Source organism: Homo sapiens, chromosome 6 (assembly GCF_000001405.40).
Source record: "Homo sapiens chromosome 6, GRCh38.p14 Primary Assembly".
In the NCBI taxonomy this organism is placed as follows: domain Eukaryota; kingdom Metazoa; phylum Chordata; class Mammalia; order Primates; family Hominidae; genus Homo; species Homo sapiens.
The window spans coordinates 61,546,161-61,558,418 of NC_000006.12; the positions used below are offsets into that span (position 1 = coordinate 61,546,161).

A 12,258-nucleotide genomic window follows, 5' to 3' on the forward strand; every position below is an offset into this window, starting at 1 on the left:
AGTTTTCTGACAAAATTTTAAGTATATCAATATTAAGATATCTATTACATTTCAAATTATATATTAATAAGTAGGATGTACATATTTGATCAAATATTAAGTATATTATAAAATATTTATGAAATAGAATGTAAAAAATAACAGAAAATTTTAAGAAAAACAAAACTTTATATAACCACAGGTTATTGTGCTAGGCCAATTTGTGTTCATGCATTAGGCTCACCTGAGATTATGTCCAGTAAATCCTCACATAATGTCATTGATAGGTTCTTGGAAACTGTGACTTCAAGCAAAATAACATAATGAAACCAATTTTACCATAGGCTAATTTAAACAAGAGTTAAGTTTCTATGGCATATTTCTAGTCACAAAAATAGCATCTTCAATTTCTAAAGACACCAAGCAATTCTAATATTAAACATTGAAATAAATTTGAGCTATACACACATTTAAGAAAGGTTAATAAAAAACAAGTAAGATAATTATTTATCCCATGTTTGGTGAATCAGTGAGTATCAGTGGTCACAGCGGTGGTGGGGTAAATCAAAGAATAAATATTCTCAAAGCAAAAATTATGAGGAGCACCTCCTACCACCACACAGTTCAAATACCAGCACTCACAAATAGGGTAGTGTCACTGACTGCTTTTGTACCACATCGTTTATTATCATGCATTTGTATGATTATTATATACTTTACAAATTTCTGTTTTACAATAATTTGTATTCATTCATTCATCCATTTTCCAACCAGATTATTCCAGTTCAGAGTCAAGGGTGACTGGACCCTATTCAGGCAACTCAGGGTGCAAGGTTGAGACCACCTCTGGACAGGATGCGATTCCATTGCAGGACATACATCCACACCCACACTCACTCAGATTAGGGCAATTTAGATAGGCCAATGAACCTAACGTTCACATCTTTGGGATGTGGGAGGAAACCAGAGTACCCAGAGAAAATCTACACAGATATAGAGAGAATGTGCAAACTCCACACAGACAGTGGCTCCGACAACTCTCAATATTATAATGAGAAAGCAATGTTGAATCAAACAACGTTGAGGACCAGCTGTATTTGTATTTTTGCCTCTTCTTGGAGGATAGGTTTGAGAAAATTGCCAATACATTCACCCTTACATTCTTTTAAGTGTGCATGCAGACTTAACTTAAAATTTGCTATTTATTAAACTTTCTATAATTTATTCCATAGTGTAACCTCATTATCTTCCTTCAATATTTTTGCTGTTTTCATAAAGGCAGGTTGAAAACAAACATTTCCATACTTCTTAAAGATATGTAACTAAATTTGATGGACCCAGCTAACAAATTTAATCACTTTATATACTAGTACCCAGGATAAGTAGACTCCTTAATGAAAGATACTCCTGTTACTGTGTGGCTGACCAAGTCATGTTTATTTTTGGCTTTGTGCTTTGGTAGAGCAGTGACTCTTAATCCCTGGTTTGCATCACTTCGAGAGTTTGAAAAAATACAAACACATGAAAACAATGCTGGACCAATTAAGCCAGTGTCTCTAGGAGAGGATGCCAGTACTCTAGGTTCTTAAAATCTTCTCAAATAATTCTGAAGTGCAGTCAGGGTGAGATCGGCTGCCTTAGAGGGACTTGTTTAAACTCCTATAAATTTGTTAATACATTTTATATGCATTCTTCTTCCCCAAAAAGTCCAATTTCTCTGTCAAGCTCTTGAACCATATGATAGTAAATTATGTTGGCCTTTATAGACAAGGGCTTGGAATAATTCACAGAAATCAAAGGTACAGCATTTTAACACTTTACTAATTTAGTAACACATAAAAGTAATCTCCAAATCAACAGGGAAGAAAAAATATGCACCAACTCTGACTGATCATTCCACAGAGCAAAGAATTTACACATCAATATTTTCAAGGAGACAAAAATCTAATAGGAACTGAAATGATGAATCTAATACTTCAAAAGAGAATAGAAAATCTGTTTTAAAGAAAATGGATTCTGAAAATACATAGAAATATTTCAGTATTTGGAAAGAGACTTCAACTAACTATGGAAAAATAACATTGAAGACAAACTAAGGAACAAGCCAAAACATGAGATATTTTGTCTAATCATAACACATTTTATGAGGGCTATATATATAGCAACAATTTTCCAATAATAAGGCAGGAAGCTGAAATCATTAGAGCTCAAATTACCCTAAACCAGTGCTCAGAAACATGGTTTCCATAAGAATCACCTGGGGATCTTGTTAAAATGCAGATTTGATTAAGTCTAGGATGAGGCCTGAGAGTCTGCATTTCTACCAAGATCTCAAGGGATGTAGAAGTTGCTGTCCAAGAACTACAATTTAAGCACTAGCAAGGCAAACTATTAATCTTTAAAGTCCTTGCAGATAACATTATCCAGAAGATAGTCAAATTTAAAATGTAAAGTGCATAATATGAACCTGCACTTCAAAAGCAAATAATATTTGATTCATTTTACAGCTTTGTCTCTATAACACACTGAGGGTCCAAATGGGTGACTACTAGATAGAGATTGAAAAACAGAAAACAGACGGACTCTAATTTTTGATTAGTGATATCAATACCATCACCACAGATAAGTTCTGGTTGAAAATAGGAAAAAGTGGAGTTATCTTTTCTCAAAAAACACAAATCATTGGCCATTAATATCAACCTAGACCAGGGTATGTTGGAGTTGGCCACTACCACTCAGGAGAGTAGGCTGCGTGCATCTCTTTCCAACTCCAACACCATAAATAGTTACGTCAGTTTGGTAGCTTAAAGATCTCAGCAAACACTTGGAATGGGGTCTTAAAAAAAAGTCCCCCAGAGTGGGTTTGCCAACATAGCATGGCATGTAGCTTCTGGTCTAACACATGATTCTGAAAGAAAAGAAATGTAAACATAACGTGAAATACGGTGAATAATGCAATGACCTTAGGATTGTCAAGATTAGAAGACAATAGGGAGATTAAGGAGGGCATCTTCTTGTCTAAACAATGAAAATAGATATTGGAAAAACCATAAAGTATGAGATATAAGAAAAAAATACAAAAATAACAAATGGATCAATCTAAATTGCATTAAACAGTGGTATAATGTTAAACAATGTGTTTTAGTTGTCTGTGGTACTGTTTCAAACACATTTGGTCTCAGGACTCCTTCACAGTCTTAAAATTTTTGAATAACTCAAAGAACATTTATTTATATGATTATTTCAATTGTTTATCATATTCAAAATGAAAAGAGACAAATTTTAAACTTGTTTGTGTATTAAGTTGCTTATGAATAACAGCAATAAGCCCATTGCATGTTAATATACTACTTCTGAGGAATAATTATATTTTCCAAGACAAATAAAATGTAATGAGAAGAGTTAGCTCTAATAACAGTAGGATCCTCCTGTTTGGTTCTGCCTGCCTTCTATTGCTATATGTTTTGGTGGAAGTATATGAAGAAAATCAGGCCATACAGAAATAACTACTAGTTGGAAGAGAGAAAAGCATTAACTTTTTCAGACGATTGTGAATATTTTTCTTGATTTTACACCAAAACTTGATAAGTAACCTTTTCAGATGATTATGAATATATTTTCTGATTCTACACAAAAATTGGGATAGTTTTAGTTTCAACCTAGCAACTAATCTTTAATAAACCATATCAATGAACTTTTTGTATTGTTACATTAAAATCTATTAGGTTATATTCTAGGTTAAATGATTCTTTTTGGTCATTTGGAAAAATTGTTTCACTGAGTTATGCAGAGCTTCCAAAGATTGACATGTTTTATGATGCACTATACAAAAACCATTCTTTTTTAATGTAAAAAGACATGAATATTTATTTAATCCCTCTATGCACAGAGTTTCTAAGTTTAAATTTCTTTTGAATTTTTATTTTAGGGTCAGCGGTACATAGGTAGGTTTGTTATATGGGTAAATTGCATGTCATTGGGGTTTGGTGTACAGATTATTTTGTCACCCAGGTAACAAGCATAGTACTCGATAGGTAGTTTTTCAATCCTCGCCCTCCTCCCACCCTCCACCGTCAGGTCCCAGTGTCTGTTTTTCCCTTCTTTGATTCTATGTGTACTCAATGTTCAGTTCCCACTTAGTAGTGAGAACGTGTGGTATTTGGTTTTCTGTTCCTGTGTTCACTTAGGATACTATCGTCCAGTTCTGTCTATGTTGCTGCAAAGGGCATGATCTCATTTTTTATGCTGCATAGTATTCCATGGTGCATATGTACCACATTTGCTTTATCCAGTCTACAATTTATGGACATTTAGACTGATTCCATATCTTTGTTATTGTGATAGTGCTGCAAGGAACAATATGAGTGCATGTGTCTTTATGGTAGAATGATTTATTTTGCTGAGGTTGGGGGATGGTGGCTTACATACTTAAAATGGGATTGCTGGGTCAAATGGTAATTCTGTTTTATGTTCTTTCAGAAATTGCCACACTGGTTTCCATAATGGCTCAACTAATTTACATTCCCAAGAGCAGCATATAAGTATTCCCTTTTCTATACAACCCCTCCAGCACATATTTTTTTTTTACTTCTTAATAACAGCCTTTCTGACTGGTTGAGATGGTATCTTTTTTTTTTTTTTTTTCTGTTTTTGAGATGGAGTTTTGCTCTGTCACTCAGGCTGGAGTGTAGTGCATGATCTCGGCTCACTGCAGCCTCCACCTCCTGGGTTCAAGTGATTCTCCTCCTCATCTTCCCAAGTAGCTGGGACTACAAGGCACATGCCACCACGCCTGGCCAATTTTTGTATTTTTTGGTGGAGATGGGGTTTTACTATGTTTCCCAGGCTGGTCTGGAACTTCTGGCCTCGAGTGATATGCCTATTGCGGCTCCCCAGGTTGCTGGGATTACAGGCGTGAGTCACCATGCCCATCCAAGTTGGTATCTCATTGTGGTTTTGATTTGTATTTCTTTAATGGTTAGTGATAAGCACTTTTTTCATATGCTTGTTGGCCACATGTATGTCTTCTTTTGAAAAGCGTCTGTTGTCCTCTGACCTTTTTTCAATGGGGTTGATTGTTTTTTGCTTGTGAATTTGTTCAAGTTTCTTATAAGTTTTGGTTATTAGACCTTTGTCAGATGTATAGTCTGCAAATATTTTTTCCCATTTTGTAGGTTGTCTGTTACTCTGTTGATAATTTCTTCTGCTGTACAGAAGCTCTTTAGTTTAATTAGGTCCCATTTGCCAATTTTTGCTTTTGTTGCAATTGCTTTTGGCATCATTGTCATGAAATCTTTTTCCATTCCTATTTCCAGAATGGTATTTCCTAGGTTATCTTCCATGGTTTTTTAGTTTATTATTTTACATTTAAATCTGTAATCCATCTTGAGTTGATTTTTCATATGGTATAAGGGTGGGGTCCAGTTTCAATCTTCTGCATATGGCTAGCCAGTTACCCAGCACCATTTATAGAATAGGGAATCCTTTCCCCATTGCTTGTTTTTGTCAGCTTTGTTGAAGACCAGATGGTTGTAGGTGTGCAGCATTATTTCTGGACTCTCTATTCTGTCCCACTAGTCTATGTGTTTGCTTTTGTGGCATACCATGCTGCTTGGGTTACTGTAGCCTTGTAATATAGTTTGAAATTGGGTAACATGATGCCTTCTGCTCTGCTCTTTTTGCTTAGGATTGCCTTGGTTACTCAGGCCTTTTTTTTGGTTCCATGTGAATTTTAAATTAGTTTTTTCCTAATTCTATAAAGAATGTCATTATATATCCCATGTGAATGGGATTGCATTTTTGATTTGGCTCCCAACTTGGATGCTGTTGTTGCATGGGAATGCTACTAATTTTTGTACATGGATTTTGTATCCCAAAACTTTACTGAAGTTGTTTATCAGCTCAAGGAGCTTTGGGCATTTCTATATTATATAGAAATAGCATTGAATTTATAAATTGCCTTTGGTAAATGGCCATTTTAACAATATTGATTCCTCCTGTACATGAGCATGGCATATTTTTCTATTTGTTTGTGTCATCCCTGATTTCTTTGAGTAGTGTTTTGTAATTCTAATTGTAGAGATCTTTCAATTCCCTGGATAACTGTATTCCTTGGTGTTATTCTTTTTATGGTTATTGTGAATGGGATTGCATTTTTGATTTGGCTGCCAACTTGGATGCTGTTGGTGCATGGGAATGCTACTGATTTTTGTACATTGATTTTGTATACTAAAACTTTGCTGAAGTTATTTATCAGCTCAAGGAGCTTTTGGGTGGAGACTATGGGATTTTCTAGGTATAGAATCGTATTGTCTGAAAACAGGGATAGTTTGACTTCCTCTCTTACTACTTGGATGTGTTTTATTTCTTTCTCTTGCCAGGTTTTCCAGTACTATGTTGACTAGGAGTGGTGAAAATGGGCATCTTGTCTTTTTCTGATTTGCAAGGAGAATGCTTTCAACTGCTCCCCATTCAGTATAATGTTGGCTGTGCATTTGTTATATATATGTCTTATTATTTTGAGGCAGATTCCTCCAATGCCTAGTTTTTTGAGGATTTTTAACATAAAGGGATGTTGAATTTTATCAAAAGCCTTTTCTGCATGTAACAAAATAATCATGTGGTTTTTGTTTTCAATTCTGTTTATGTAATGAATCACATTTGTTCATTTGCATGTGTTGAAACAACCTTGCATCCCAGATATAAAGCCTACTTGGTCATGGTGGATTAGCTTTTTGATGTGCTGCTCAATTTGGTTTGCTAATATTTTACTGAAGATTTTTGCATCTATGTTCATCAAGGGTACTGGCCTGACCTGTTATTGTTGTTGTTATTGTGTCTCTGCCAGGGTTTTGGTATCAGGATGATGGTGGCCTCATAGAATGACTTAGGGAGGACTCCCTCTCCTCAATGTTTGGAATAGCTTCCATAGGAATAATACTTGCTCTTCTTTATACAAGTGGTTGAATTCAACTGTGAGTTCATCTGGTTCTGGGCTTTTTTGGATAGTAGGCTTTTTATTACTGATTCAAATTCAAATTTTGAACTTATGATTTGTTCAGGGATTCAATTTATTCCTGGTTTACTCTTGGGAGGTTGTATGTGTCCAGGAATCTATCCATTTATCCTACATTTTTTCATTTGTGTGTATAGAGGTATTTGTAGTAGTCTCTGAGAGTTTTTTTGTTGTTATGGGGTAAGTGGTAACATCCCGTTTGTCATTTCTGATTGACTTTATTCTTATCTGCCCTCTTTTTTCATTATTAGTCTAGCAAGTAGTCTGTCTATCCTATTTATTTCTTCAGAAAACCAACAACTCCTGGATTCATTCATCATTTGCATGAGTTTTATGTCTCATTTTTCCTTCAGTTCTGCTTTGATTTTGGTTATTTCTTGTCTTCAACTAGCTTTGGGGTTGGTTTGCTCTTGTTTCTCTAGTTCTTCTATTTGTGATGTTAGGTTGCTGCTTTGAAATTTTTCCAACTTTTTTATGTTGATGTTTAGTGCTATAAATTTCCCTCTTGTCACCTTAGCTGTGTCCCAGATTCTGGTATGTTATATCTTTGTTCTCATTAGTTTCAAAGAATTTCTTGATTTCTGCCTTGATTTCATTATTTACCAAAAAGTTATTCTGGGTCAAGTTGTTTAATTTCTGTGTAATTATAGGTTTCCAGGGACTTTCTTAGTACTGATTCCTATTTTTATTGCACTGTGATCCAAGAGTGTGGTTAGTATGATTTCAAGTTTTTAAGTGTTTGTTTGGAGATTGTTTTATTTCCAATTGTCTGGTCACTTTTAGAGTGTGTGCCATGTGCTGATGCAAAGAATGTATATTCTCTTGTCTGTGGGTGGAATGTTTTGTAGATGTCTCTTAGGTCTATTTTGTCAAGCATTGAGTTCATGTCTTGTATATTTATGTTAGCTTTCTGCCTCAATGATCGTCTTATATTGCTATTGGGGTGTTAAAGTCTTCCAATATTATTGCATAGTTATCTAAATCTCTTCATAGGTCACTAGAACTTGCTTTATGAATCTGGGTGCTCCTGTGTTCAGTACATATAATTTAGGATAGTTAGGTCTTCTTGTTGAATTGAGCCCTTAACCATTAAGTAATGCACTTCCTTGTTTCATTTTTTTAAAATCTTTGTTGGTTTAAAGTCTGTTTTATCTGAAATTAGAAGAGCAACCCCTGTTTTTTTTTCGGTTTCTCATTTGCTTGGTAAATTTTTCCCCATTCCTTTATTTTGAGTCTTTTGGTGTCACCACATGTGAGATGGGTCTCTTGAAGACAACAAACCATTTAGTCTTGCTCCTTTATCTAACTTGTCAATCTACACCTTTCAATTTTAAGGGATATTTAGCCCATTTACATTCAAGGTTAGTATTGACATGTGCAAATTTCTTCCTGTTATCATTTTGTTAGTGGGTTATTATGCAGATATTTTTGTGTGGTTTCTTTATATTGTCATTGACCTATGTACTTGTGTGTTTTTGTCGTGGCTTGTAACTGTCTTTCCTTTCCATGTTTAGCCCTCCCTTCAGGACCTCTTGTAAGGCAAATCTCGTGACAGCAAAATCCGATAGCATTTACTTGCCTGAAAAACATTTTATTTCTTCTTCACTTATGAAGCTTACTTTGGCTGGATACAAAATTCTTGGTCAGAAATTCTTCTCTTTAAGAATGCTGGATGTAGGCTCCTAACCCCTTCTGGCTTATAGGATTTCTGCTGTAAGGCCCACTGTTAGCCTGATGGGGTTCCCTTTGTAGGTGACCTGCCCCTTCTCTCTAGCTGCTTTTAACATTTTTTATTTCATTTTCACCTTGGAGAATCTGATGACTATGTGTCCTGGAGGTGGTCTTCTTGTTTCACAGGGGTTTTTTTTGCACTTCCTGAATTTGAATGTTGGCCTATTTAGTAAGGTTGGGGAAATTTTCATGAATAATAACCTGAAATATGTTTTCCAAGTTGTTTTCTTTCTCTTCCTGTCTTTCAGGAATGCCAATGAGTCATAAATTGGGTCTCTTTAAATAATCCTATATTATTCAGAAGTTTTGTTCATTCAACTTTATTATTTTTTTTCTTTATTTGATCTTCACTGTGTTATTTCAGAAAACAGGTTTGGAGCTCTGAGATGCTTTCCTCAGCTTGGTCAATTCTGCTGTTAATACTTGCAACCGTATTCTGAAATTCTTGAAGTAAGTTTTTCATCTTTGTCAGTTCAGTTTGTTTTTTTCTGAAAATGACCATTTCATCTTTCATCTTCTGTATCATTTATTGTATTCTTTAGAATCCATGGATTGGATTTCAACTTTCTCTTAATTGTTGATGATCTTCATTCCTTTCTATCTTCTGAATTCTATTTCTGTCATTTTAGCTATTTCAGCCTGATTAAGAAAAATTGTTGGGGAACTTGTGTGGTCATTTAGAGGTAAGGAGACACTCTTGCCTTTTGAGTTGCCAGAGTTCTTGCACTGATTCTTTTACATCTGTATAGGCTGATGCTCCTTCAACTCTCGAAGTTGCTGTCCTTTGGACATTTGTTTGTTTCGCTTGCTTGTATCTTCTTTGATGCCCTTAGGGGTTTGATTGTCGCATAAGGTGGGTTCAGTTGACTGGCTTCACTTCTGGTAGATTGTTTTTTGGAGGGCAAGGCTCAGATCAACACTCCTGGGCTATATGCTTTAACTTGGGGGCCTGTTATCTGGCCCCCAGCTTTCTTCTCTGGCCCACTGAGGTTGGGAACCTGCTGTGCTGGAGAGGCCAAGGTTTTCCTGGATCACTCGCCACAACACTCTAAAGGACAGTGTTAGCCAAAGCAATTCATTGGGCAGTGGCAGTGGGGTTCATGCTCGTTTGCACATGCCAGCTGCAGTGGCAGCATTACAGGATGAGTTCTTGTCACCTGGGGCCACTGGTGGGCCTAGGGCTGCCTGCATCCATGTGGGCATTGGCAGTGGCAGCAACCAAGGTGCAGGATGGAGGAGGGAGACAGAGCTACTGGGGTCCATGCGCATTCACTCCTGCAGTGGTGGCAGTGCAGGGGCATGGTGCTGGCCACCTTTGTGTGTGCATTAACACCAGCGATGATAGCAGCATCGGGCAGGGGGCAGAGCTACTGGTGGCCATGCGTGCATTCACACTGGTGGCAATGGCAGTGCAGGGGTGGCGGCGGGGGTGCCAATGTCCATGCTAGAAAAATCACATTTTTTTAATCACTCTGGATCTCACCAAAAAATCAATAAGAATGGGAAAGAAGTCAAGCTTATGGTGACAAATACAAGTTTTTCACAATTCTAATTTTTACTCCAAAATTCAAATACATTCATTGGCAAAGACATTCTAAGTTGTCTTCTTTGAAGTGATAGGCTCACTTCATTCTTCTTGAGAAAATGCCTACCAAATACCCAAGTCTCAAAAACCATAGTTTGTCAGTTTTTCTTTCAGGAAAATATGGAGTTTAGCCAAAAAAGAACCTAATTCAGCTTACAGCATGGTGTTTTTCTTTCAGGAAAATATGGAGTTTAACCAAAAAAGAACCTAATTCAGCTTACAGCACAGTGTTTTTCTTCAAGATGTTCTGGGAACTTTGGTGTCTGGTACAAGTGCTTTAAGCCTTCCTCACCTCCATTTTCTCATACAGAATATTCAAAAGGCATGTACTAAAGGGTCAATATTTAATAAAATTAATAATAGTTACTGATTTATCAAGGACATCCGTAAGTGAAATTGAGATTTTTTTTTTTTTTTTTTTTTTTTTTTTTTGCTTTACTGAGAGTGCATAGTGGTGAAAAATTCAATGACTACCAATAAAGTTTGTTGCCAACAGCTTTATTTATGCTGAGGTGTTAACAGTTTTATTCATTATAGTTTTGCACCATCAGTGCAAGTTCCAACACAATAAAAAAGGCAAACAATATTGTCATATTATGGTAAAAATACTTTTGCCCTCATGTACCACCTGAAATAGTCTTGGGACCCCAGAGATCTGCAGCTGCAGTTAGAAGTCCACTGCTTCACACTAGTGCACCAGCACAGGATTTTGTTTTAGAATAGGAGCATAATAATATTGCATTATATATGCTTATACTTTTTTATAGTATTTTGTAGTTTAGTAATGCTCTTCACAGATATTATCTTACATTAATCACAGTATAATAGCATAAAGTTCCCATCCAATTTTTCTAGTAAATAAAAACAATAATGAAGAAAGCGAAATAAAGTGTCCAGAAATACAGATAGAATATATATAGAGAGTGTCTCTCCTGCCATGTCAGACAGAAGGCTGTAAAACAGCAATAATATTTTCCCTGAATATCTCCATTGTGAATGGTAGGACACTTCTGGAAGCTTTCATTGCCTTTCCTTTCTGTTATTTAGTAAAACACTCCTTGCTAGTATTTTGTTGAAAATTTTTGTGTCAATGTTCATCAAGATTATTGGCCTGTAGTTTTCTTTTTTTGATGTGTCTTTGTCTGGTTTTGATATCAGGATAATAGTAGTAGCCTCATAGAGTGAGTTTGGAAGTATTCTCTTCTCTATTTTTCTTAATAGTGTAAGCAGGATTGATATTAGTTGTTCTTTAACAACAACTGAATTTGGTAAAATTCAGCAGTGAAGCTATTGGGTCCTGGGCTTTCCTTTGCAGAGAGACTTTTTATTACAACTTTGATCTCTTTACTTGTCATTGGTCTGTTGAGGTTTTGCATATCCTCATGGTTCAAACTTGGTAGGTTACATGTGTCTCGGAATTTTTCCATTTCTTCTAGATTTTCCAGTTTATTGTCATACAGTTGCTCCAAGTAATCTCTAATGATCCTTTGACGCTGTATCAGTTGTAATGTCTCCTTTCTAATTTCTGATCTTATATGTTTGGGTCTTTTCTCTTTCTTAGTCTGGCTAAAGAGTTATCAAATTTTTAATCTTTTTTTTAAACAACTTTTTGTTTCATTGACCTTTTGTGTTGTTTCCTTTATTTCAATTTCATTTATTTATGCACTGATCTTTATTATTTATTTTCTTCTTCTGTTTTTGGGTGTGATTTGTTCTTGCTTTTCTAGGTGTTTAAGATGAATCATTATGTTGTTTATTTGAAGTTTTCTTACTTTTTTGATGTAGGTGCTTATAGCCATAAACTTCCTTGGCTGGGTGCAGTGGCTCACACCTGTTATTCCAACACTTTGGGAAGCTGAGGTAGGTGTGTTGCTTGAGCCCAGGAGCTTGATACCAGCCTGAGCAACATGGCAAAACCCTGTCTCTAAAAACTACAAAAAATTTAGCT

General features: G+C 35.8%; 1 protein-coding gene across 1 annotated transcript in view; it reads right to left on the reverse strand.

Moving 5' to 3' along the window:
* Positions 1 to 12,258, reverse strand: part of KHDRBS2 (KH RNA binding domain containing, signal transduction associated 2) — a 743,556-nt gene that overhangs the window by 3,491 nt on the left and 727,807 nt on the right. The window contains exon 15 of the transcript NR_146870.2: positions 224 to 283. The gene's annotated coding sequence lies outside the window, so the exon portion shown is untranslated. The remainder of the gene's footprint in view (positions 1 to 223; positions 284 to 12,258) is intronic.